This window comes from Homo sapiens, chromosome 2 (genome assembly GCF_000001405.40).
Source record: "Homo sapiens chromosome 2, GRCh38.p14 Primary Assembly".
NCBI classification, from domain to species: domain Eukaryota; kingdom Metazoa; phylum Chordata; class Mammalia; order Primates; family Hominidae; genus Homo; species Homo sapiens.
The window spans coordinates 218,780,554-218,808,321 of NC_000002.12; the positions used below are offsets into that span (position 1 = coordinate 218,780,554).

The following is a 27,768-nucleotide window of genomic DNA, read 5'->3' on the forward strand; positions in this document are numbered from 1 at the left end:
GCAATCTCCGCCTCCCGGGTTCAAGCGATTCTCCTGCCTCAGTCTCCCCAAGTAGCTGGGATCACGTGTGCCACCACGTTTTTAAAGCATGGCCTCCTGTCCTTCCTGTCCAAAAACCAAATGAAAAATATGGTCTAGGTTGGGTGCTGTGGCTCACACCTGTAATTCCAGCACTTTGGGAGGCCGAGGTAGGTAGATCATCTGAGGTCAGGAGTTTGAGACCAGCCTGGCCAACATGGCAAAACCCTATCTCTACTAAAAATACAAAAATTAGCCGGGCGTGGTGGCGGGCACCTCTAATTCCAGCTACTCTGGAGGCTGAGACCGGAGAATTGCTTGAACCGGGAGGCGGAGGTTGCAGCGAGCCAGGATTGCACCACTGCACTCCAGCCTGGACGACAGGGTGAGACTCTGGGGAGTGGGGAGGAGAGAATTAACAAACTATATGACACAAAGGAACAAAAATACACAAGACAGGATAAGAGAGAGGAAGGATACAGGGAGAGCTAACATACATATAGCAGTTTGAAGTCCCGGGAAAGGAGAAAAAAATGGGGAGGAGCAATATTTGAACAGATAATATCTGAGAAACTCCCCAGACTGATCAAAGACATCCAGTCACAGAGTCAAGAAACTAGGAGTCCTAGAATAAATAAGTAGAAAGCCACACCTAGCAACTCAGCTGTCAGCCTAATTGAACTTAATATGCCCTTTCTTCTCTGGCTGCCTGTAAATCACCAATTTTTCAAATGCTGTTAGAACCAGCTGTACCATCCTGCTGGGTCCTTCATTCCTGGCTTGAATGTGATCTTTGACCCTGTATTTATTTTATACTTGCGTGAGTTATGTTTTTAAACTTTTTGACAACTATACTTTGAATATACATGAAACATAGGATTCATAAGACAATACTTTTTTTTTCTTCTTGCTGTACGTTTTCCGTACTATGTTACTCTTTCCATTTTATTAAAAATAATTCTGGCCATCATCTACGAAATCTGGTCTCAACCTGCAGTTTGAAATATCCTGCCTTGGCAGACGCGGCAGGGAGGTGCGTGGAGGGAGAATTGAATTAAAAAAAAAAACAACAAAACACGAATATTTAGATTTCTTTGTTCAGCGGCCCCCCTCCAGGGATCAGATGACTGGCCCCCCTCGCTCCGAACTGACTCCGGGATCAATCCGGAAGGCCATTGGGAGAAGCCGAGGGCAGCTTAGCCACGGCCGGTTCCCGTTCCCTCCAGGACGCGAGGGTCGCCTTGGGTGGGGAACCGCGACCGGGCGAGGACCTATCCCGGTGTGGGGCTTCCCGATTTCGAAAGAATCTCGCTGCACCCCCGCCCAGAGTTCAGACCAAGCGAAAAGTTATTTGAGAGGCCTCGGGGGCGCGGGGTGAGGAGTCGTGGCGGAGGCCTTGGTCGGGGCGCCGTGGATATCCCCGAGTCACCGCGTCCCTCTCCTGCAGCTCCCGCGTCGCTGGGAGGAGCGAGGGAGCGAGCGGGAAGGGGTCTAGCTGGCCTTTGCTCGGCCCTCCCCAGCGCCCGGCTTTGAACCCGCCCTGCACTGCTGTCTGGGCGGGTCCGGGGACTCAGCACTCGACCCAAAGGTGCAGGCGCGCGAGCACAACCCATGGCTGCGCTGGGCTGCGCGAGGCTGAGGTGGGCGCTGCGAGGGGCCGGCCGTGGCCTCTGCCCCCACGGGGCCAGAGCCAAGGCCGCGATCCCTGCCGCCCTCCCCTCGGACAAGGCCACCGGAGCTCCCGGAGCCGGGCCTGGTGTCCGGCGGCGGCAACGGAGCTTAGAGGAGATTCCACGTCTAGGACAGCTGCGCTTCTTCTTTCAGCTGTTCGTTCAAGGCTATGCCCTGCAACTGCACCAGTTACAGGTAACCCGCGGGGGCATCGCGTCCTGGGGATGGGAGTGGGCACCGGAACAGAGAGGCTAGAGGTGAGAAGACGTTGGACAGAAAGTGAAGGCTGCAGGAACTCAGCTGGGGACCCACTGAGGCTATGGTCATAAACTGGAAATCAGTAGGGAGAATGGGCAAAGTGCAGACAGAGCCCTTTGAGCTGAGATAAACAGGACGAGGAAGGGCTTAAATCAGGACGGCACCAGTAAGGGGGGGATCTGGACGCCGGACTTACAGTGAGCAGAGGTTGAGGAGGGAGCTGTCTTGGGAAGAGAGTGGCAGAGGCAAATGTGTAAGCTAACGGATATTATGGAATCACTAATTCTGGGCTGATATTGGCTACCACAGACTTCTTCCAAACGAAATAACTTCAGGAGGATTATAGAAACCTCTTGGTTATTTGCAAGGTAAATTTCCTCTTAGGGGAAAACACAATGCTGCATCTCAGATCGTGGAAGCAAACTCACAGACAGTAAGGAAAAGGTACTTTTTGTTATTAAGAAATCAGTCTGAGGCCGGGTGCAGTGGCTCACACCTGTAATCTCAGCACCTTGGGAGGCTGAGGTGGGCAGATTACCTGAAGTCAGGAGTTTGAGACCAGCCTGGCCAACATGGTGAAACCCCATCTCTACTAAAAATACAAACATTAGCCGGGCATGGTGGCACATGCCTGTAATCCCAGCTACTAGGGAGGCTGAGGTAGGAGAATCGCTTGAACCAGGGAGGTAGAGGTTGTGGTGAGCCAAGATTACGCCATTGCACTCCAGTCTGGGCAACAAGAGCGAAACTCTGTCTCAAAAAAAAAAAAAAAAAAAGAAAAAAAGAAAAAAGAAATCAGCCTGTAGTCTGTGTTCAGGTTAGTGGTGTTGGGGGAGAAAACCAATGTCTAATAAGAAAGTTTTATACAGCAGAACACAGAAATGAGGCAGGGATGAACAGCTCACTGCTCACTGACAGAGACCGGAAAACCCAACACTGACCAATGTTGGAGAGGATTTAGGGAATGAACCAAAGGGGTTCATACAGGATCTATCTTCCTAATGACTATCAACAAATATGAATGCACCTACCATGTTCTAGGCATGGTTCCAAGTACTGGGATTCAGTGAGATGAGGCTTCTGCCCTCATGGGGCTTAAATGCTCCTCTGAAGAAGATGGAGGACAAAGAGATAAAGCAACAAAAAGTTAACTTCACAGAGAGAACTCTGGGGGAGAAGCTGTTCTAAGGTTGGGGAAGAGGGAGGGGGCTTCGATTCGGGGTGCCTCCACAAGGACACTTGGTTGTCAGGGACTGATAGGAGTAGGCTGGTCCTGGGCTGGGGTAGCCAACCATCTGCTGGTCATGTGTCTGTGCTGGGAAGGAGTCAAAAGTAAGGAGGAGCTGTGGGGACTGGGGACAGGACTGGCCTTTGAGGACAGCCTTGAAGATCAAGATAAGGGCCCTGGTTCCTCTGAGGGGCCATGGTGAGCTCTTGAGCAAGCATGGGGTGAAGACGGCCTGCATGGAACACTGTCCAGGCTGTGGTGTGTGTAGTAGGAGAGGTGCAGAGGGTCTAAGGTGATGAAGGCTCAGGCGTGGCAGGATCCAGGATGGAGAGGCAGATCTGAGCCACACTCCAGAGAAAACTGGAATGGAGGTTGAGGATGAGGGAGAAGATGACTCTGAGGGCAACGAAGGGCAAAACTGACTACAACCAGGGCTGCATCCTCTGCCCTGTCCTGGTGGCTGCTGTCTCTCCTGCAATCTTCCCTGTTGGGCTCATGTTTGTGAGACTTGGGGATGTGAAAATAAATAATTCAAAACCTAAGCTGTTGGAACTTTAAAATATTTTGAGCCTTAAGGGAATGTGATTATGTGATTATGGCACTCAAGTCACATAAGCAGGCTGCTGTAACCTTTGTTTCTCTGATTTTAGATTAACTTTCTTTACCTCTGTTGTTTTGAAAATGTTGTAAATGTCTACAGGAGGCCAAGGAAGATGCCTTCCCTCTTCACTGTTGAACTTCATTATAGATTAACTTCCTTTTACCTTTCTCACGCAAAGATTTCATGCCTATCGCATTGCTTTAAGAAGAAATGTTAACTATACTATTTTAAATTGGAAAGGAAATGAAAATGAGACACATGGAAAAGAAAACAAGTGATAACTAATTAAATTGTAACTTATAAACCAGCCTTGTGTAGAAAATGTTATAACCCTATGAAACTTTGTTTCCTGTCTATATAAGCAAGGACTTAACTTTTAACTTTGGAGCACTGATCCCATTTTTCTGGAGTGTGTGCTTCCCAAATGGCTATTCCCAGCTTTTCACTTGAATAAAATGTTTAAAACTGGATTCTGATTCTTTTGAGTATTTCAGGTTGACAGGGGGCAGGTCACAAAATACTGAGAGATGGTTTTGAAATCACTTCTTGTGAACCCAGATCCTTTAAGCCAGTGGTCCCCAGTCTTTTTGGCACCAGTTTTGTGGAAGACAATTTTTCCATGGACTGGGGTGGTGGGGATGGTTTTGGGATGATTCAAGTGCATTACATTTATTGTGTATTTTATTTCTATTATTGTTATATTGTAATATATAATGAAATAATTATGCAACTCACCATAATGTGGAATCAGTGGGAGCCCTGAGCTTGTTTTCCTGCAACCAGACTGTCCCATCTGGGGGTGATGGGAGACAGTGACAGATCAGGCATTAGATTCTCTTAAGGAGTGTGCAACCTAGATCCCTCACATATGCAGTTCACAATAGGGTTTGTGCTCCTATGAGAATCTAATGCCAGCACTGATCTGACAGGAGGCAGAGCTCAGGTGGTCATGTGAGTGATGGGGAGTGGCTGTAAATACAGATGAAGCTTTGCTCACTCACCTACTGCTTACCTCCTGCTGGGAGGCCTGGTTCCTAACAGGTCACAGACTAGTACTGGTCTGTGGCCCCGTTGTTGGGGATCCCTGCTTTAAGCCAAGAAAACAGACTCCTGTTAACTTCTTCTGCTTGGTTTAACCTCTAGAAATGGGAGAGACCCAGTAAATGCCTCAAGGGTGAGAACTAAGGATTTCTCAGGGGCAGATTTGCTTAGGATGATGTCTAGAGCAGTAACTAACCAAAGAAATTCTAGATGGCTTTAGGATGAGGAAGAGGAAGCAGGGGAAAGTCAGGAAGTATGGCTTTTTAAAGGAGAGTCTAGGGCTGGGATATAGTAGCAGAGCCACCTGGTTTCAGTCCTTGTATCCCAAAGATCTTGGGGCACACGAACCTGGGCCATCCCATGGGAAATACATTAGTCCTTCCCATTACATGTGGCTAGTGTGAGTTAATAGAGGAGTGTTGTACATCTATAAAACTCAGTTAATAACCTTTTAAAATTAGAGAATGTGTTTCAGTTACTCACTTTGTATCAGAATTTGTTAGGTTGCCACTCAAACTGGCTCAAACTATAAAGCAGCTTTATTGGCTCATAGAACTGAAAAGACCAATAGTTGAGTGTCCTTCAGGTGTATTTATTCTAGAGATTCAGGAAGTCATCAAAGCTGCAGCTTTGGCTGGGTGTGATGGCACAAACTTACAGTCCCCCAGCTACTTGGGAGGCTGAGGCAGAAGGATCCCTTGAGTTCAGGAGTTTGAGACCAGACTGAGAAACATAGCAAGACCCCACCTCTAAATTTAAAAAATGGCAGCTCTGTTTTTCTGCAGTTCCCTTGGCTCAGCTGTCTTGCAGGAGTTGGTTGACTGGCTTGGCCTGGGTTAATTGCCTATCCATGAGCCCACGATAGTGGCCAGGTGGAGATAGACATACCCTAATTAGCTTACCTCTGTGGAGGTTCACCCTCAAGCTGGGATTAGGGTCCCTCCCACCCAAACCAGGTGTCTGCCACACAAAGGGGAGGACGGCAATGGATGTAGGAACAGCCAACCACAATGTCCCTTGTGCCCTCAGTTGTCAAAAACTGCATTAGCACACATAAAAGTAATAAAAATCAGCTTTGAGAAGCATTGTAGCACTTAAGGGAGTGTGGTAGGAATTAGGACATGTAAAAGTCGTACTACATAAATGCCAATGCCAGTGCCTTTCTCTTTCCTAATAAAAATTACATTGAATGCTGGAAAAATGGAATGTAAACATATGTTGCATTTATGCCAAATTAATATATTTCAAACATATTGATCCTGAGAATTATGAGATATCTATTCTGTAGCTCTTTTTGTGCACTGCCTGGCTTGGTGACCCTTCCTGTGCCCCCCAGTGCCCAGGAGATTAATGATTTAATCCCTCCAGGTGCCCCAATGTCCTAAGTACATATGTGTCATTTTATGTTATCATATTTCTCTTTCTTTTTTTTTTCTTTTTTTGAGACAGTGTCTCACTCTGTCACCCAGGCTGGAGTGCAGTGGTGCGATCATGGCTCACTGCAGCTTTGACCTCCTGGGCTCCAGCTGTCCTCTCACATCAGCCTCCCAAGTAGTTAGGACCACAGGCATGCACCACCACTCCTGGCCAATTTTTCTATTTTTGGTAGAAAGAGGTTTCGCCATGCCCAGGCTGGTCTTGAACTCCTGAGCTCAAGCAATTCACCCACTTTGGCCTCCCAAAGTACTGGGATTATAGGCATAAATTACTGTACCTGGCCATCATGTATCTTGTTTCTTATCATCACTTGTTTATATGGCTTAGAGATTGGGCTGTGAAGCTGTGAGGGCTGGGCCTATGTCTTTCCTACCTCTTTCCCCCAAGTGCCAGGCACGGTCTTAGGCATAGGGGAGGTGCCATGAGTGGTACTGAGCAGTGGATACATCTGATGGTAAACTTATATGTGACACTCTTCTTCCCAGCTCCCTGATCTGGGTTGTTTGACATAATATAGAGTGAAGAAAAGACAATGAGGGAGGTGGGCAGATTGAACAAGCCTGACCCTTCAGTTCTCAGTGTTTGAGGTTTCAGAAACTAAATGTTGTCATCACATTCAGCATGGGCAGATTACTGGGGACTGACCCACACTGGCCAAATCCAGAGAAACAAATGTGTGGACTGGAGTGCCCAACATGATTATATAATGAGGAGGTGCTATGGTTTGAATGTTTCCTAAAGTTCATGTGTTGGAAACTCGATCTCCAATGCAACAGTGTTGACAGGTGGGACCTTTAAGAGGTGATTGGAATGATTCTGAATGATTAGTTATCATGGGAGTGGTTACTGATAAAAGATTATTTTAACCCCTCCCTCCCCACCATACCCACATGCTCTGCTTTCTGCCATCCGATGACATTGCAAGAAGGTCCTAACCAGATACAGTCCCCTCAACTTTGGACCTTCCAGCCTCCAGAACCGTAAGAAACAAATTGCTGTTCTTTATAAATTACCCAGCCTCAGATATTCTGTCATATCAATACAAAACGACTAAGACAGGAAGTCAAGCCTCCCAGGAATCATAATACTCCATTGCACTAGAACCCTCTGTTCTAGTTATCTATTGCTGCATAACAAACTATCCCAAACCGTGGTTGCTTAAAACAACAAATATTTTGTTATAGTCATAATTTTGTGTGTCAGGAATGTGGGCAGGGCACAGTGTAAATGACTTATCTCTGCTTCATGATGGAGTGGGCCTTCAGCTCAAATGGGCAAAATGGAGAGGATTGCTCAAGTGAGGCCATATGTCTGGGCCCTGAGTCTGGCTTTTAGCTGCCATGTCACATCTTCTGGGGCCGGAATGGCCAAGATGAGTTTTCTAGTTGCATGTTTTGTGCCTGGCCTGGTTTGGCCAGAACAGCTGGTTATCTTTCTCTCTTCATATGACTGGCTTGAGCTTCCTTACAGCATGGTGGTCTTAGAACACTTGGACTTCTTGCATGTACTGGCTTCCCCCAGAGTGAATGTTCCAAGAGACGGAAAGTAGTAGTTGCAGTTTCTTAAGGCCTGGGCCTGAAAACCAGCACAGTATCATTTCCACTGTATTCCACTCATCAAAGCAGTTACAGAGCCCACTGAGATCCTGGAGACATGGACTTCACCTCTTAATGGGAGGCATGTCAAGGAATCTGTAGCTATCTTTAATCCACTACACCCTTTTCCTAGGATTCAGGTACCTAGGGAGAGAAATTATTAACTACATTACTGAACAGCTTGGAAGGACCCAGAACTAAAGGAGTAGAATCGTATGGAAGAAAATTCCATCTAGGCCTTGGAGAAACCCTTTTGAATATACTTCTCTGGTGACTCTCCGTTAGGTTAATTATCTCTCTCCCTTGGACTGTGAGTGATAAATGCTGCCAAATTCTTCCTATTTGGCTTCCTTCTTCTGGATTTTGTTAACACCACTCCCATTCTGTTAACACATTCTTTCTTCAGTTTGACAAAAACCTTTGATTAGATAGATTTTCTTCCTTAGCACTCATGTTACCATCAGGCCTTCCAGAGATTATTGTCCAGTTACCTTGACTGGACTTAAGTGTTTTTCAGGGCCATCTGGTAGACATCTATAAAGTTGTCCTTGAGGATGTAGCAGAACAGGGAACATGGCCCAAAAGCCTCAGAGATGGGAATATGAAACTAAGTATTAAGGTGAAATATGTGTGAGTTATGCCAATTTAGCAATTACATTGCCAGAATGAATCATAGCAATTTAGCATTTGCCCTTACAGATAAACTGCTGTAGGCAAAGAGACATGCAAGAATATTCAAGGCAGCCTTATTTGTAGTCAGGAAAATTAGAATGATTTAAATGTCCCATAGTAGGGGGCTAATTAAATTATGGTACATCCATATGATGAAATTTCATGCAGCCATTAAAAAGGTTAGGGACAGATCTATTAATATTTATTGCTTGCTAAGAGATGGAAAGAACGTGTTGAAAAAGAAAAACTTTAGCTGAATTAAGTTTAACAGAGTTTAAATGAGCAAAGAACAATTCACAAATCAGACAGCGTCCCGAGCCAGAGTAGGCTCAGAGACTCCAGTGCAGCCATGTGGTGGAAGAAGATGTATGAACAGAAAAAGGAAAGTGACATACAAAAAATGGAAGTGAGGTACAGAAACAGCCGGATTGATTACAGCTTGGCATTAGCCTAATTTGAACACGGTTTGAACAGTTGGCCACCTCTGATTGGCCAAAACTTGGTGATTGGCACAAGAGTAGGCTACAGTCTGTATACAACTCCATTTACGTTATAGTTTGTAATGTGCTGAGAAACCTTTAGGCCAAACTTAATATATAAGGAGGCAGCTTTAGGCTAAACTTGAACTTGATTTAACAATTCCCCACTTTCGGTTATTTCAGTTTTAGAGGATGACCAAGACTTTACTCATTGATGTCATTATCACCATTGTAAATGTATTTATTTGGTCTTGGAACCCACTGGGAAATAGCAGAGCAGTGGGTTTTGTAAGGTGGGAACAAGGACTTCAGGTTATTTTTTTGTGAAGGTTAGAGTAGAGGGTACCTCCTTATGGTGGGATGTCCTGTTTACAGAAGAAAAACAAAACTTAGTCTGTTCTAGGATCTATTTGTTTCCTTAAAGTCTTAGTTTGATTATGTCACATTTAGCATAAATGACTCTATTTTGGTTTGGTGTGGTCTGTTGGAGGCTAGTGCATGAGCTTAGTCGAAAACAATGGCCTCCCATAATTTGTTTCCAATTTCTCCTCTTTTGGTCAGTTTCTTACTTAGGTAAGAGTATGAGCAAAACTTAGGGCCTTAGCACTGCTCTCAGTTACCTCATTTTGTGTTTCTGGTCTCAGCACATCATTCATAGGTTATGGTGCCTCTCATGGTCACATATATCTTTTAGCTCTTTTCATTCCAGTTGAAGAGAGACCATTTGACATTCTAGAGATGGCTGCATGCAAACATTTAAAACTTTTGAGAGAATACAGTGCACCACGGAGACTACTGTTATGACTATCAAGAGGATAATACCTAGAGTTTGGACTATGCTCCTTAGCCAGGTTCCCCATAAAACAAACCAACTAAAATCAAATAGATCAAAGAATCAGCTAAAGACTCTACTTGCTTTAACTAAGCAGTCTCTTTGTTAATCCCCTACAACTGAATCTCTAAAATACCAGATGTGATGGAAGTGCCAACAGCTGCATAGATACTTCCCTGTTTAGCCAGCAGGTAATCTAGAGCAATTCTATTATTTAGCATAACTTTCAGAAGAGAATTTTAAGTCTGTTGTGTAACCATATCCTTTACAGTAGAATCTGCTAGAGAGCCTATCATGAGGGATAAATTTCTTTCTTTCTTTTTTTTTTTTGAGATGGAGTCTCGCTCTGTTGCCCAGGCTGGAGTGTAGTGGCACGACCTCGGCTCACTGCAAGCTCCACCTCCCGGGTTCACGCCATTCTCCTGCCTCAGCCTCCCGAGTAGCTGGGACTACAGGGGTCCGCCACCACTCCCGGCTATATTTTTTTTTGTATTTTTAGTAGAGACGGGGTTTCACTGTGTTAGCCAGGATGGTCTCGATCTCCTGACCTCGTGATCTGCCTGCCTCAGCCTCCCAAAGTGCTGGGATTACAGGTGTGAGCCCCTGTGCCCAGCCAAGTTTTGTATTTTTAATAGAGACGGGGCTTCACCATGTTGGCCAGGCTGGTCTTGAACACCTGACTTCAAGTGATCCAACCGCCTCGGCCTCCCAAAGTACTGGGATGACAGGCATGAGCCACTGTACCCAGCTGAGGGATAAATTTCCAATCATTGCCTCATTTACTCCAAACCATGGAAAAAAGGACCTAATACATGATGCCCTTTGAGAAGAGTTAAGACCTCCTGGCAATGATCTTTTTAAACCATGATGTAGGTTAACAGGAGTGGACCAGTGCTCTGTTTCTGACAGACTATGAGGCAATGTATGTGTCATTAAAATTTCCCACCTACATTGGCCCTTTGTCTTCCATCTATCAAGGCATAAGGTTATCCATGTAATAAGGCTGGCTGCAAAATCTTTCACAAATAAAAGTACACCCCATGAGTGCACACAACAGACCCCCTTTTCACTTCTATTATTCGTAGGGGCATAAACAAAGAAAAAATTGAAAGATAAGAGTCTCGTGATAGTAAAGAAGTCTTGATCTGTGATCTTGGGAAAAAGTCTACATCAAGGATACCGTCTTCTTCTGGGGAGAAACTTCCCTGGTTAGCTTTACCTTAAGGTTTCTAATGGGTGTACAGTTCCAAGTATGTGGAGGGACCCTTCTGAGTTATGAAATTATGAACCCAAGGTTCAAGGTCTCAAAGTCTTGATGCAGTATGGATGGCAAGTGCAGTCTTTCTGTGACATTCTCAGAAGACCTACTCTTTGGGCTCTAGATTGTGAAGGGCTTCATGTCCTCAGTCAGTGAACCATGAAAAGCTTTCTTTTCCTGGTGAAAATACACGGTGGCATGATGAGCTACTGTTACAACATCAGTCCTCTTGTGTGGGAAAGCTTTTATACAACCAGACGACCTGCATTGAAAAATGACAATAGAATGAAATCCCTCTATAAATGTTTAAATGTCCCATCAGCTAGCGAAATGTACCTGAAATTTTTATTGTCTTCCCAGGAATATGGGTTTGACAAACCAAATATTGGTCATAAACTATTTTAGCAATGTAGAAGTCACTACACACACACACACACACACATTTAATTTGGATCATTTTATGTTTTTCATGATGAGTTATGGAATGCAGAACTTTTAATAAAAAAAAGCTTTAAGGACTCAGGAAGGACAAGGTGGCTGTCCTGGTTCTCTGTGAGTCCATGCTTAACATTGGACTTACATCCTCTTGGATACCAGTTGTTTCTCCAATTTAGGTGCATAGCACTAATAATTGATAAGTTATCATAGGTAATTTGACTTAGAACATGGAGTTCATTCAAACTGTATATCTAAACAATTTCAGTACTGGATGATTTAGCATGAACATCTGGCAAGGTGTTTTTTTTGGTATTTAATTAATTTTTGTTCTGCTTGGGTTAGCAGTTTTATAAACCAGTCAGTTTCTTCACTGAAGTTTCAAGAATTCTTACCCAGTCCAAATATATGATTTTAAAGTTATTATAACCTTTTAAAATAATTCAAGAGTGCTTCTCAGGGTTCTTTCTGTCCTTTCATGAACCTCCTTAAAGACATCATATTCTAGGATTTTGCGTGTTTGTGAAATTTTCATAAACTGCATCAGAATTAAGCAATTAATTGGGGAAATGACTTCAAATAGTCATAGTTAATGACACAACTGACAAGGAAATTTGGTTATTTCTGTGGCCTACAATAATATAAATATACATTAGAATTTTAGAAATCCCATACAATTTTGGAACATATATTAATAACATTCATTAAAATGTAACCTGAGGAAGGTTAAACATTGTTTCTAATTTGACAATGCTTCCCATGTAACTTAGCATGTCAAATAATTCTGTTTACCTCTCTTTTGGATGCTTCAGGGAACCTCTGTAGCATCCCAAAGTTAAAGGTCAAAAAAGACTTAATTTTGAAGCTGAAATCTGATTTTTGGGAAGCCTGACAAATATGTCAAAGGTTTAAAACACTTGACCAAAATAGAATCACAGGTCACCATAAAACAATAGTCATTCATTTAACCAAAGTGATAATTAAAAGATTCTTTTTATTTGTTTGTTTGTTTTTTGAGACAAAGTCTCACTCTGTCACCCAGGCTGGAGTGTGATGGCACCATCTCGGCTCACTGCAACCTCCGCTTCCTGGGTTCAAGTGATTCTCCTGGCTCAGCCTCCCGAGTAGCTGGGACTACAGGCATGCACCACCATGCCCAGCTAATTTTTGTATTTTTAGTAGAGATGGGGTTTCATCATGTTGGCCAGGCTGGTCTTAAACTCCTGACCTCAGGTGATCCACCCACCTTGGCCTCCCAAAGTGCTGGGATTAGAGGCATGAACCATCCCACCTGGCCTAAAAGATACTTAAAAACAAAAAACCTGTACTCTTTGATAAAGGAGACTCAGTTTTCCGAACAATCAAAAGACATAAGACAGCATGAGACAGAATCTCTTCTTTCCTCTCTCTTTTTTCTTGTTGCAGTTTATGTAAAAAGTGAACAAAAATATTTTACTGTCTTATTAACACTACAGAAAATTTTATCCAAAAGAGAAATATTTCACTTTTGTATTAGTATATTATCATATTAAAACTAATTTTAATAAAACTTCATAAATACATTTATCAAATTTGTCATCTTTTAAACCACACATTTCCATAAACCTTTTGTTTCACATTTTCCCCAAGTTTCTCTTTCTTTTTTTTTTTTTTTGAGACATATTCTCACTTTTTCACCCAGGCTGGAGTGCAGTTGCACCATCTCGGCCCACTGCAACCTCCGCCCCCAGGTTCAAGCAATTCTCATGCCTCAGACTCCCAAGTAGCTGGGATTATAGGTATGCGCCACCATGCTTGGCTAATTTTTCGTATTTTAGTAGAGACAGAGTTTTGCCATGTTGGCCAGGCTGTTGTAGGACTTTCTTCTTAGTTCAATTAAAAATGGGGTCCTTGTCACACAACCAGGAAAGATTAGGCTCGCGGACACATAGAAGGGTGAGAAAAATGGAATTTATTGGGTGAAAAGGAAAAAAATTCAGTAAAGCTAGAGAGGTGCCTGTTAACAGGCCCCCATCTCACAGATTGAATCCCCAGGTTACCACCCTGGTACGGGAGAGGACAAGCTCCTCCCTCTGCAAACGGGTAAACCTCCCGAGGCTCCACCCCAGTGCGCGGACCAGTCGGAGTTTCTCCAGGGACCTCTTTTTACTTGGCTGTCTCATTCCCCACTCTAAAGAAGTACTTCTAACTGCCATTAGAATAAGGATTGGGATAAGGATGAAGATTGATCTTAACTGCTTCCTGCTGACAGCGGGCATAGTTTTGGGAAAATGGCAGTCATATCTCCCTCAGAGGCCTAAGGGTCCCCGGCAAAACGGGCCATTGTCAGAGGCTCTGGTTGCATGACCATTTGGAGTTTGATGGCCTGAAGGTGAGAAGAGACAAACCAGGTTATTAGAAAACATGTATCAAAAGGAGAAAAGGGCGGGTAAGATCAGCTCAAAAATCCCAAGGCCTTTTACCAGTTTGCCCAGGGAGAGGGAGGCCAAAATCCTGACTGGTTAAAAAAAACTTTACCCTTTTGCCGGCGTGTTGGGCTTCTGGGTTCCCTTCCCTTGAGCCCAATCCTGAACCAGCCAGTTTAAGGTTTGGGAAATTAACTTTTCCCAGTTTGGAGGATGCATCTGAGGGGAGTGTCCTGTAGTACAGAGCCACAATTACCTATCAGTGAAGAGAGGACAGAGGAGGAGAAAAGAAAAAAGAAGGCTCCTTTTCAAAGGGGTCCTAGGGGTTCAGGATGCATTTGAAAGGGTACAGACTGAAGAAGAATGGCTACTCATCTAGAAAAGAGAGGAGCAGACATCTCTGGTTCCCTTCTCTTCCTAGCAAATATCTGGGGTACATGAAGAAGAGAAGGAAGAGTATTCTCTTTCCCTCTTCCATCCTTGCATCCCTGAATCCTGACAACTGCGACAGGGTGCCACCCATGGGTGTCAAAGCGGCCTGAACCCATGAAGCAGGGAGGGCCTAGAGAATAGGAATTATCCACTCTCACCTATGTCTCTATTCCCACTAGTGTCAGTAGCCTTGGAGTTCCCTAGACCTCATTTATGCCATGGATACTAGCATGACTTTATCCATGAAATGAGAGGCTTGGCTTAATCAGCAGAAATTAGCCATGCTCACCTGTGCTGTGCCTTTTAACCTCTGTTATCATCTGCCTCTGGATCCTGTAGATCCAGTTTTCTTTCCTAGGGCTTTGACCCGAAGCTTGGAATTGAGTTTGGGACAAAATTGTGTCTCAGGGGGTGTTGCATGGACTTCTTATCATAAGCCAAATGCTAAGGTGAAACTGTGGAATCGAGTCCTCCTGCAACAAGGGAGAGAAAGGGATGTCTTGTGACACACCCAGATAACTGGTGGCTATGGTTATGCTTGCTAAGACTTGGGTGCATGGTGCTTGGTTTTGGTTAGCTCCCTTGGTCTTCCTTTCCCAAAAAGGAAACCTCCAAGTGATGGGCATCCTACTTATTCCTGTCACCTGACAGGATTTGCAGGATAATTGCTCAGAACCAGAATATTGACCCAGATTTTTACATTATCCATCTGAGCTGCAGCCAAAGATTGCTGGTTGGTTCACAGGAGCAGGCAGGGTTAGTCTAAAATGTAGGCAAAAACTTAAGAACAATGAATGAGTTTAGAATTTAATTACAAATGTATAAGTTTTGAAACATAATTTCTCTCTCTCCAGTCCTCATTTTTGTTAAAAAAAATCATAATAGGACTGAGTTGTTTGCAAAGTAGACTTTAGTCTTATACTTGGCCTGATTATTTGCATAAAGTACAGCAAGAATAATTATTTCTACATAGGCCTTTTAGATTGGCTTTGATGGAACTCTGTTCCAAAAGGAAGCTCAGATAAGACCTTTTAAAGCTGAGCCCAGCCATGGGTTTGTATCCTTAAATACCTGTGAGTTGGGTGATCCTCTCCTTTAAGGTCCCAAGATAAACTCGGAGCTCCTGGGCCTGTTAGAAAGTGACATTCTTTACTGACCACGGGTCAGGAACCCTGTACAGGGACTGTGTAGTCGAGGGTATAAGGCCAGTTTCTTTTCCAAAAGGGGCTTTTATTGGCTTGGCAAGTCGAGCTTGACTCCTTAAAGGGAAGCATACCTTTCTAGTCAAAGCCTTGGTAAAACAACAGTTTCTCCAATTGCATCCTGTTGCAAAAGAAAAATGGATTCTTATTGCACTGATGCAAACAACTATATTGCCATAAATTAAGAATACTCTGCTGGGTGCAGTGGCTCACGCCTGTAATCCCAGCACTTTGGGGGGCTGAGGCGGATGGATCACCTGAGGTTAGGAGTTCGAGACTAGCCTGGCCAACATGGTGAAACCCCCGTCTCTACTAAAAATACAAAAATTAGCCAGGCGTGGTGGTACACACCTATAGTTCCAGCTACTTGGGAAGCTGAGGCAGGAGAATCACTTGAACCCGGGAGGCAGAGGTTGTAGTGAGCCGAGATCACACCACTGCACTCCAGCCTGGGCAACAGAGCAAGACTCTGTCTCAAAAACAAACAAACAAACAAAAAAACACAACTCACAGATAGTTTCCAAATTCTAGAGGAACCTGGCAGAGAGAAACAAACATGCTCCAAGTTTTGTTCACGGGCATATAGCTTACTCAATTATTAAGGCTGTAAATAATTCAAAATAAGTTTCTTTGACTCTGAAAAACAAAACAAGGATCAGCAGTATTACAAGCAAAAGTCAAAAAGACATGCTTCAGTTTCCTGAGTTCTTTCAGTTAGCTCTTGTTTTGCTTGATATTTGTGAATATTTCAGCTCTTCCTTTATTCCAATGTCGCAATATCCAAAGTTATCAGAAACCTGCATTTGAGAACACCTGTCAAAGTCCTATAGCTTACTATAAACCGTCTTTCGAAAAGGAGTAAAACAAGAAAACAATTGTCTGTGAAAAACAAAATTCCCAGGGTAGTTACAGTTAGAAACACAGTTGACAAAGAAGTCTGGTTATCTCTGGTTTACAATAACTTAACATAACAACCTGAATTATAATTTTTTTTTGAGATGGAGTTTTGCTCTTGTTGCCCAGGCTGGAGTGCAATGGCATGATCTTGGCTCACTGCAATCTCCCTCTGCCTCCCAGTTTCAAGCAATTCTCCTGCCTCAGCCTCCTGAGTAGCTGGGATTACAGGCGCCCACCACCACACCTGGCTAATGTTTTGTATTGTTAGTAGAGATGGGGTTTCACCATGTTGGCCAGGCAGGTTTTGAACTCCTGATCTCAGGTGACCCACCTACCTTGCCTCCCAAAGTGCAAGGATTACAGGCACGAGCCGTTGCGCCTGGCCTTAATTATGATTGATAGCATATACTCAGACATCAGAATTTCCGAGATCCCATACAATTTTGGAACATATATCAGCATTATTCACCAAGGTATAACCTAAAGAAGATCGAACACCATTTTGGCAATCTCTAAACATGACAAATTATCCTGTTTACCTTTTCCAGAGACCCTCTGAACCATCCAAAAAGCCATGCATCAGGAAAGACAATTTTGAAACTGAAGTTTGATATTGGGAAGGCTGTTAAATATGTTAGAGGTTTAGAACACCTGATGTTATGAAATAGAATTCCAGATTATCATAAATTATTTATTTTGCCAAAATGATGACTCAGAAACTTAAAAGCAAAAAGCCTTTTATAACCCTTCACAAGTTTTGCTAAAGAGCAGATTAGTGCCTTAAGAGTATCCTTGTGCTTTTATTTCAATGCTCAATTTACAGAAAAAGCATATAATACCCTTTGGAATTTAGTCAATATGTTCACACACAGAATTTTGCAAGATTAATTTTTATAATCCTTTCACTACTTGTTTGAATTTTTAGCTTTTCTTATCTAATTTAAAACAATCTTTTAACCCTAGGCAAGAATTTACATTTTCATGCCTTCTTATAATCTTTTTTTTTGAGACAGAGTCTCGCCCTGTCACCCAGGCTGGAGTGCAGTGGTGTGATCTCGGCTCACTGTAACCTCTGCCTCCTGGATTCAAGCAATTCTCATGCCTCAGCCTCCCGAGTAGCTGGGATTACAGGCATGCACCACCACACTTGGCTAATTTTTTTGTATTTCTAGTAGAGATGGGGTTTCACCATGTTGGCCAGGCTAGTCTCAAGCTCCTGACCTCAGGTGATCCACCTGCCTTGGCCTCCCAAAGTTCTGGGATTACAGGCATGGGTTACCATGCCCAGCCTTCTTATAATCTTTTATTAAAAATACATTTTGTTGTTCTTACACACCTTGCATATAAATCTATTTTCAGTTGTTTCAATTACATGTTATAATGGTAACTCCTGGCAATTTTAACTTTAATGTAAAGCCTGGTAAATTGTTTTTTGTGCTAGGTGTAGCCAAGGTTTGAATCCTTCCAGCATAATTAAGGGTGTGGTTAATTCCATATGTCCCACTTACCAATTGTGAAGTAGGCAAGTCAAATAGTTCTCAAAACCCAAAAGGCAGTTTAGAACCTTAAAACATTTAGAAAGCCTAGGCCGGGTGCAGTGGCTCATGCCTGTAATCCCAGCACTTTGGGAGGCTGAGGCGGATGGATCACTTGAGTCTAGGAATTCGAGACCAGCCTGGGCAACATGGCGAAACCCTGTCTCTACTAAAAACACAAAAATTAGCTGGACGTGGTGGCATATGCCTGTAATCCCAGGTATTTGGGAGGCTGAGAGATGAGAATTGCTTGAACCCGGGAGGCGGAAATTGTAGTGAGCTGAGATTGTGCCACTGCAGTCCAGCCTGGGTGACAGAGCGAGACTTGATCTCAAAAAACAAACAAACAAACAAACAAACAAACCCATGAAATTGGTAGACTTTGAGTAAAGCAGATTACCCTCCGTAATGTAGGTGGGCCTTGTTCAAGCAGTGGAAGGCCTTGTGCAAAAAGACTGAAGTCCCTAGAAGGGGAATGAATCTGCCTCCAGGCCACCTTCAGATTCAAGATTGGATTATTGACCTCTGTTGGAATTTCCAGCCTGCCAGCCTGTGCTGCAGATTTTATACTTGCCAACTGTTAGGGACAAACTGCCCCAAAAAGTTTCTTGGTGCTGCCCACCCCTCCCCCTAATGCTCTGCAACTCTTCTCCATGCTGCCCACCCTTCCCCCAAGCCTCTTTATGTTTCTAAGCCCTTATCTAGACGCCGCGGTGAAGCCAGCAGACTTCACTTATCAGACCTTGCTGTGATAAGGAAACCCCAATTACAAACCATCCAGACGGCACAGGGGGAGGTCATGGGAAGCATAAACAAACTTTACCTACACCCTCCTGTAAGTTCCTGTTCATCTAGCTGCTACCATAAACGTCACACGGTGATATGTGGCAAAATTAACCAGCAAACAACCTCGGGATGCGGCCATACCAAAGAACTGCCTCAAACTCCCCTCCCCAATATAAACCCCTCCTTCTGTAAGTTTGGGGCTGCTTCCTCTCTGACTGTTAAGGGGGCAGCCGGCAGGTTAACAAAAACTTGCTTGCCTGACTTTGAGTCTATTTTTCCTTTCTCTCGGGTAACCTCACACCAACCTCCATAATCATGTGAGCCAATTCTGTAAAATAAATCTTTCCCTATATACATACATCCTATTGTTTCTTTTTTTTTTCTGGAGAATCCTTATTAATATATCCACAAAATTACATCAGTCCACTGTCCAATCTGAGAGTTTCTTCCAAATCCAGTTAAAGTAATTTTTTGACCATAACCATGGGTATTTCTCGGTGCCCCAATGACTTGTGCCCAGTGTCGGAAAAGGCTGAACAGGTTCGACAACTGTGGTTGCCATCAAGTCCCCAGCACACCTTGATCAGTGCATAAAGCCTCTGATCCTCCTTAGAGAAGGAGGGACTTGGGTTTCTGCCCTAGTCCTGTTCATCTTGACGGGGGTAAGATCTTGCCAAAACACAAGGAGACAGATGACTGCAATGCAAGTTGTGGGGTACCTCCATTGCTGAGAAACTCCTGCTAGACCGCAGCCAAGGGGTTTTATGTTCTGCGACTCTTTTCTGAGGGAGAATAAGGCAGAAAGTCCATATCTCAGAACCTGAGAGGTGATGAGAAGCTGTCTTGGGACACCTCTGAGGAAGATGGGGAGGCCAGTGAAGAGTGGGAGGGGCCTCCCATTCTTCGGTGTTCCAGGAGGATCACAGGGCAATCAGTCTTCAAGGCTCAGGGAAGGCTGAGTCCAAGCCTTTGTTTATATGGAAGGTCTTAACGGTGCTATGGCAAAGTAACGCAGCCTGGTAGAAGAAATAAAGATAAGACACTCCAAGTCAGCCAGTGTTATTTTGTGTGGTGGCTCACAAAAAAATAAAAATAAATAAACAAATAAATAAAAACACATGACCATGAGACAAGCACTTTCTTTTCCTATAAAAATTACCTTTAAAAAAATCACATAAATATGAGTTACGATTACATGCTAATTTTGTGGCTATATACCACATTTAATAGAAAATGCCATTTAGAATTGAAATAACTTGCAGAAGTAGTGTATGCATATTTTAGAGAAATGAGAAAATATAAAGAAACAAAAAGAAGAAAATCTAAATCTTCCATAATCCCAACACCCATCACATAGCACAATGCCTTATACCCATAGGTTCTTAATAAGCGCTTGTGAAATGAATACATAAATACACCCATATGTTGTTATAAGCATATGGGGAAAGCATTATCTGTTTTCCCCATATGTCATCTACATATATATGTTTTTTAAAATAAAAGCATACCATATGCTCTCTTTTGTAACTTGCCATTTTACAGAAAAGTAAATATGAATATCTTTTTCAATAAACACACTTATATAACAATTTTTAATGGCTGAAAAGCATTTCATTGGATGGCTACATCAGAATTTACTGGACCCTGTTGGTATACTTTTAGATTTTTTATGTATAAAGCTTTGATTAACATTAATCTATCTAGCACTAAATGTTTGTGTACATTCTCAATTATTTTCTTAGAATAAAACTCCTAAAATGGAACCATTGTGATAAAGGATTTTGTTCGGATCTTTGATATGTAGCACCTGCCAAATTGTCTTCCAGAAAAGTTACAAAGAAAATAGTTTTGCATGACAAAGGGCAGTCCAAAAAACAAAAACAGGGCCACATGTGGTGGCTCACGTTGTTTGTAATATCAGCACTTTGGGAGGCCGAGGTGAGTGGATCACGTGAGGTCAGGAGTTCGAGACCAGCCTGGCCAACATGGTGAAACCCTGTCTCTATTAAAATACAAAAAAATTAGCCAGGCATGATGGTGCACACCTGTAATCCCAGCTACTCAGGAGGCTGAGGCAGGAGAATCGCTTCAACCTGGGAAGTGGAGGTTGCAGTGAGCTGACATGGTGCCACTGCACTCCAGCCTGAGCAACAGAGTGAGACTCCATCTCAAAAAAAACCCAAAAAACAAAAACAATTATTTTTTGCAAATAAGTACATGCAGAATATATATCACAAAGACATACCATTTTCAACTATGATATTTGCAAAAACAGTCTCTGCAAATATCATAGTTGAAAGTGGTATATCTTCATGATATATATTCTGCATGTTCTTATTTGTAAGATTGGACCTATTTTCTGCATAGATATACTATTTATATTTCTTTTTTTGTAAATTCCCTATTTCTGTTTTTATGTCTATTTTTCTAACGAGTTTTTGAATTGTGTATTCATACATATTTTCTTCTTGTATTTTTGTAGTTTCTTTTAAAATCTTTATCCCACCTGGGATTAGTTTCTGTGTATGGTGTGAGGTGCACAAGGCAGGTGCCTGACCAAGGGGTCACATGAGGAGCAGGAATGGAGCCTGCATTTGACTTGCCAGGCCCTGGGCTTTGGCTGGGGCTGCAGCTGCTAGCAGGCTTTTTTTTTTTTTTTTAATTCCTATTTAAGGCACTCTTTAGGCCAGCAATGACCACGGATGTGGGTTCTAACTATACTTTCTCCCCAAATAATCAACTAGTTGCTTTAATGACATTTGTTCACTTATTTGTTTCCTCTTATTTAAGACTAGGCTAAGAACAATCGGAATTAGTTTAGCCCGTGCGGCCTAGCCCTAGCCAATAGGGGAACGACACAGCAGCAGGGGCCACGTGCGTCACGGATAAGAACCCCTTCCCCTCCCTTGTCCAAGTGTGCGCTCACCATTGCTCCATCTGTAAGGGTGCACCCTCCATAGAAGTAACTTGCCTTGCTGAGAATTAAAAAGAAAATTAAAAAAAAAAAAGACTAGGTTAAGATGTGAAGAAACAGAACTACTTGCGTTGTTACTCCATGCTTTTTCCATCTGCTAATTATTTATTTACTTCCTATAAGGTCTTTACTATTTCTTGCTCATTCAAAGAGCTTTGATTCTCAGGATGCATGAGTTTGTGCTGCTTTTTGGAACGTTGTTCTAGCAGCTTGTCAAAAGTGAGGAAGCACTCACATTTCTGTTTACTCTTCCAGAAGGCTGCTTACTACGAGTTTGTTGCTGGAAGAAAAATAGTACTCCATTTCCTGTAGAAAAGAGAGACAGCCGATGTTTTCTTCGGAGGGCAAATAAATAAGAATAAACCCAGCCTCTGCTCCCTTATCTAGGATCTAGGAACTGATACTGTTATTTTCTTTTTTTCTCTCTTTTTAAGCCATTCTAGTGGTTAACAGTGGCTTTGGTTTGCATTTCCTTAATGACAAATGATGTTGAACATCTTTTCTTGTGGTTAACAGTGGCTTTGGTTTGCATTTCCTTAATGACAAATGATGTTGAACATCTTTTCTTGTGATTATAGGCCATTTGCATATCTTCATTGGAGAAATGTCTATTCAAGTTCTTTGCTTATTTAATTAATTAATTTATTTATTTTGAGGCAGAGTCTCATTCTGTCACTCAGGCTGGAGTGCAGTGGTTTGATCTCGGCTCACCGCAACCTCTGCCTCTTGGGTTAAAGTGATTCTCATGCCTCAGCCTCCCAAGTAGCTGGGACTACAAGTGTGCGCCATCACGCCTGGCTAATTTTTGTATTTTTAGTAGAGACAGGGTTTTGCCATATTGGCCAGGCTGGTCTTGAATTGCTGGTCTCAAACTCCTGGACTCGAGTGATCTGCCTGCCTTGGCCTCCCAAAGTGCTGGTATAATGGGCGTGAACCACCACGCCCAGCCATTCTTTGCTTATTTTTAAACTGAATTTGTCTTTTTGTTGTTGGGTTGTAACAGTTCTTTGTATACTCTGGATATTAAACCCTTATCAGATATATGATTTACAAATATTTTCTCTCGTTCTATAAGCTGTCTTTTCACATTCTTGATAATGTCCTTCGAGGCACAAAAGTTTTAAATTTCTTTTTTGAGACCGAGTCTCGTTCTATTGCCAGGCTGGAGTGCAGTAGTGCGATCTTGGCACTGCAACCTCTGCCTCCCAGGTTCAAGCAATTCTTCTGCTTCAGCCTCCCAGGTAGCTGGGACTACAGGCACACGCCACCACACCCAGCTAATTTTTGTATTTTTAATAGAGAAGAGGTTTTGCCATGTTGGCCAGGATGGTCTCGATCTCTTGACATCGTGATCTGTCCACTTCGGCCTCTCAAAGTGCTGGGATTACAGGTGTGAGCCACCGTGCCCCCGTCTTTTTTTTTTTTTTTTTTTTTTTTTTTTAGATGGGAGTTTTACTCTGTTGCTCAGGCTGGAGCGTATTGGTGCAATCTCAGCTCACTGCAGCCTCCACCTCCCGGGTTCAAGTGATTCTCCTGCCTCAGCCTCCCGAGTAGCTGGGACTACAAGCATGCGCCACCACACCTGCCTAATTTTTGTATTTTTAGTAGAGATGGGGTTTCACCATGTTGGCCAGGCTAGTCTTGAATTCCTGACCTCAGGTAATCTGCCCACCTCGGCCTCCCAAAGTGCTGGGATTACAGGTGTGAGCCACCATGCCTGGCCAAAAGTTTTTAATTTTTATGAAGAACTATTTATCTATTTAAAAAAAATTCCTCATGCATTTGTTATCAAATCTAAGAATTCATTGACATATCCAGGGTCATGAAGACTTACCCTTATATTTTATTCAGAGTTTTATAGTTTTAGCTCTTCTTTTTAGATTGTTGATCCATTTTGAATTAATTTTTGTATATGGAGTGAGGTAGGGGTCCAGCTTCATTCTTTTGCATTTAGTTATCCAGTGGTCCCAGTACCATTTGTTGAAGAGACTTTCTTTCCCCATTGAATGGTCTGTGCACCCTTGTCAAAAATCAGTTGACTGTAGATGTTCTAGTGTATTTCTGAATTCTCAGTTGTATTCCATTGGTCTATATGTCTACACTTACACTAGTAACTTACTGTTTTGATTACTGTAGCTTTGCAGTAAGTTTTGAAATCAGAAAATGGGAATGTTCCAACATTGTTTTCTTTTTTAATATTGTTTTGGCTATTTAGGGCCCCTTGCAGTTCCATATTAATTTTAGGATCAGGTTTTCCATTTCTGCAAAAAGGCTATGGAATTTTGAAAGGGAATGCATTGAATTTGTAGTTTGCCTTGGGGAGTACTGCTGTTTTAACAATATTAAGTCTCCTAATCCATGAACATGGATGACTTTCCACTTATTTAGGTCTTTAATTTCCTTCAGCAGTGTCTAGTAGTTTTCAGTGTTCAAATGTTTCACCTCCTTGGTTAAAAGTATTCCTAGGTATTTTATCTTTTGGATACTATCATTAGTCTGTTTGGGCTGCCATAACAAAATACCACAGACTGGATGGCTTAAACAACAAATTTATTTTCTCACAGTTCTGTAGGCTAGAAGTGAGAGATCAGGGTGCCAGTGGTTGGTTTCTGATGAGGGCTGTCTTCCTGGCTTGTAGTTGGCTGCCTTCTTCCTGTGCCCTAGAGGGCAAGCTCTCTGGTGTCTCCTATTATGAAGACACTAATTCTATCAGATCAGGGCCCCACCCTTATGACCCCATTTAACCTTAGTTACTTCCTTAGAGGCCCCATCAACAAATGCAGCAACACGGGGTTTAGGGTTTCAACATAAGAATTTGAGGGGAGTGCAGACATTCAGTCCAAAACAGAGGTTATTGTAAATGGAATTATTTTCTTAATTTCCTTTCAGATTGTTCTTCCAGGTTCTTAAAACTCTAGACGAGCTACTGTTAACAAGTTTCCTACGTATCCTCTTCCCCACCCCCTTTCTATGTCTGTCTCTGTCTCTCTCATGTTCTTTGCATTGTCTGCAACATGTTTCTTTCTGCTGGATTCATTGACAACTGTTAAGTATGTACTGAGTGTCTTATTAATGTGCTTAGCAGTGTGCCCAACAATTTGGGATGTCATAAAGAAGTATGACATGGTTTTCACCCATGAGGATTTTCAATTTAGTTGAAGAGACAAGACATCCGCAAAATAATTAGAAAACTGTTTAGGAACATATGTAATCAAATTCTCAACTGTCTGGCCCATGCACTAGGATAAGAACTCCTTAAGAATGGTCTTTTATGCTGTGCTTACTGCTGTATCCCTAGGAGGAACAGGACATGAGATTCATAAATGAATGTTGAATGAATTCAACATTCTCCTGCTTTGGAGTTTTGTCAGGTGGGGGCTAACCCTCCCATTCATCCTGAAAGATGATCTTTGTTCTGCAAAGTGGCTCTTAGACAGGACCCATCCGAGAATGCTGGGACTTTCCAACTGGCTCAGGTTACGATCTAATGGTAGGATCACAGACACAGCACGCATCTCTCAGCAAGTATCCTGCTGTCTTTCTAAAATAACTTCTTACATAAGTAGATCCTTGTTAAGTTCCACTAAGTAAACTAACTGAGGAGCATGAAGGAAGAAGGCATGGCTTAGCTAAAAGGAGAAATGTCCCAGAAACCTCCATACTGACAGCCAGGAAGTAGTCTCAGAGGCTTTGGATTCCAGGAAAGAAGCTGGTATTGTTTTTCTACTTTAAAAATATAACTTTTTTTCTGCTGATTCCAAGAACGTGGCAAAAAATTTTTGAAAAATAAATCACAGTATAGAGAAGAAAGTAAGTTAATTTGTAAAGCACTGTTTACCACCATTGAGATAACTGCTGTTCAGATTTTTATTAAAATGTTATACATAAGTTTACTTCAACTTAACAGAAGGATAAGAAACCAAACTTTAGAAAAATATTTCTTCAAAATGGTATATATTTGTTTTAAACAGGTCTTCTAAAATTAAAGAATTAGGAGACATATTAAGAGGCTGGACTTATTGCAGTAGTTCTCAATCTATGGTGATTTCATCCCCCAGGGGACATTTTGGAAATGTCTAGAGACATCTGTGGTAGCCACAACTCAGAGGGGGTGCGGTACTTGTGGGGAGAGGCCAGGAATGCTGCTAGGCACCCGGCAACGCACACCACTGTCGGCTACAACATAGAATTATCCACTCCGAGTATTAACAGTGCCACAGTTGAGTAATCCTGGGTTGTTATTGCATAATATTGTGGTTTTAAAATAGTACACGCTTTTCAAGGGCCTACGTTTGTTTCCAGTTAGAAGGACATAGTTGTTTTCTCAGGGATCCGTGGAGTAAGTGGTTCAGAGCATGGCCTCCAGCCAGGTGTTTGGAGTTTGAATCCTGACTCTGCTACTTAATGATAAAGTGACCTTGAGCAACTTCTTTGGGCCTCAGTTTCCTCATCGGCAAAATTGTGGTAATATTAAACCTACCCCAAACAGCTGTAGTGAGGATTGAATGAGCTAATATAAGTAAAATTCTTGGAACAGTGTCTGGTTCATGGTCAGCTCTATGGAAACACGTGCAATTATTATTGTTAATGTCTTAAACTGGAAACAAATTAAGCCTACTTTTAGGACAGGTCTCCTAGGGAATTTTTTTTTTTTTTTTTTTTTTTGAGATGGAGTCTCACATTGCCACCCAGGCTGGAGTGCAGTGGCATGATCTTGGCTCACTGTAACCTCCTCCTCCTCCCGGGTTCAAGCGATTCTCCTGCCTCAGCCTCCCAAGTAGCTGGGATTACAGGCGCCCACCAACATGCCCAGCTAATTTTTTGTATTTTTAGTAGAGACGGCGTTTCACCATGTTGGCCAGGTTGGTCTCGAACTCTTGACCTTGTGATTTGCCCACCTCAGCCTCCCAAAGTGCTGGGATTACAGGCGTGAGCCACTGTGCCCGGCCCTCCTAGGGAATTTAATAGAGGAAAATAGATGTGTATGTAAAGTATTTTTTAAAAAGCAACCTTTAAGGAAAAAAACAAAACTCACTCACAGGAAAATGATATGGCTGGGGCACTTATAAATCTAAGGAGTATTTACAGGAATTCAGAGGCTCAGCAAGGATTCCCTGCCTTCTAGAACTATCTGGTCAATGTCAGGTGACTTACTGTTTCAGAAAACATTTCTTTTTGTACCTTTAGACTTTAAAAATTTGAATAGGTAATACATTATCATAGTTCAAGACTCAAACAATAGAACATGATACACACTAAGCAGTCTGACCCCCTCCGCTGCTCCCCTGACCCTCCCATAGTAATCACTTTATATTTATTTATTTAGAGACAGAGTCTCACTCTGTCATCTAGGCTGGAGTGCAGTGGGTACAGTCATGGCTCAATGCAGCTTTGACTTCAAGCAATTCTCCCACCTCAGCCTCCGAGTAGCTGGAATCACAGGCGCACACTGCCATGCCCAGCGAATTTTTTTTTTTTTTTGTAGAGGCAGGGTTTTGCCATGTTGCCAAGGCTGATCTCAAACTCCTTAGCTCAAGTGATCCTCCAGCCTTGGCCTCCCAAAGTGCTGGGATTATAGGGGTGAGTCACCATGCCCGGTCCAGTAATCACTTTCACTAGTTTCTTATGTATCCATCCAGTATTTTTCTATGAAAGCAAATACAAATACTATATATTCTTATTTTAGACCTCCTTTCTTAGGCAAAAGATATACTTTTTCACATAATCTATCTTGGATATCTTTCTGTATTAGTACACAAGGAATTTCTTCATCCCTTTTTAAGGTGACATAGTATTTCATTATGTGGATATCTCATGCTTTGTTTATAAATTTGCTCGTACTTTTGTAAATATTAACAAATCGTCCTCCAAGTAGGGATGTGTTATTTTGGAGTCCTACCAGCAGTATATTTTCCTTCCAGGAAAATAGGCATATTCACTGCAGTTTGCAGACGATCAGCTGTTCAAAATTAGAACACACTGGCAGGTGTTCCTGGGAGGTAGAAATGGGAA

General features: G+C 42.6%; 1 protein-coding gene across 1 annotated transcript in view; it reads left to right on the top strand.

Moving 5' to 3' along the window:
- The window catches only part of CYP27A1 (cytochrome P450 family 27 subfamily A member 1), a 33,147-nt gene continuing 6,972 nt past the window's right edge, over positions 1,594 to 27,768 (top strand). The window contains exon 1 of the mRNA NM_000784.4: positions 1,594 to 1,884. Coding sequence (NP_000775.1) covers positions 1,630 to 1,884 — 255 coding nt within the window. The 5' untranslated portion in view covers positions 1,594 to 1,629. The remainder of the gene's footprint in view (positions 1,885 to 27,768) is intronic.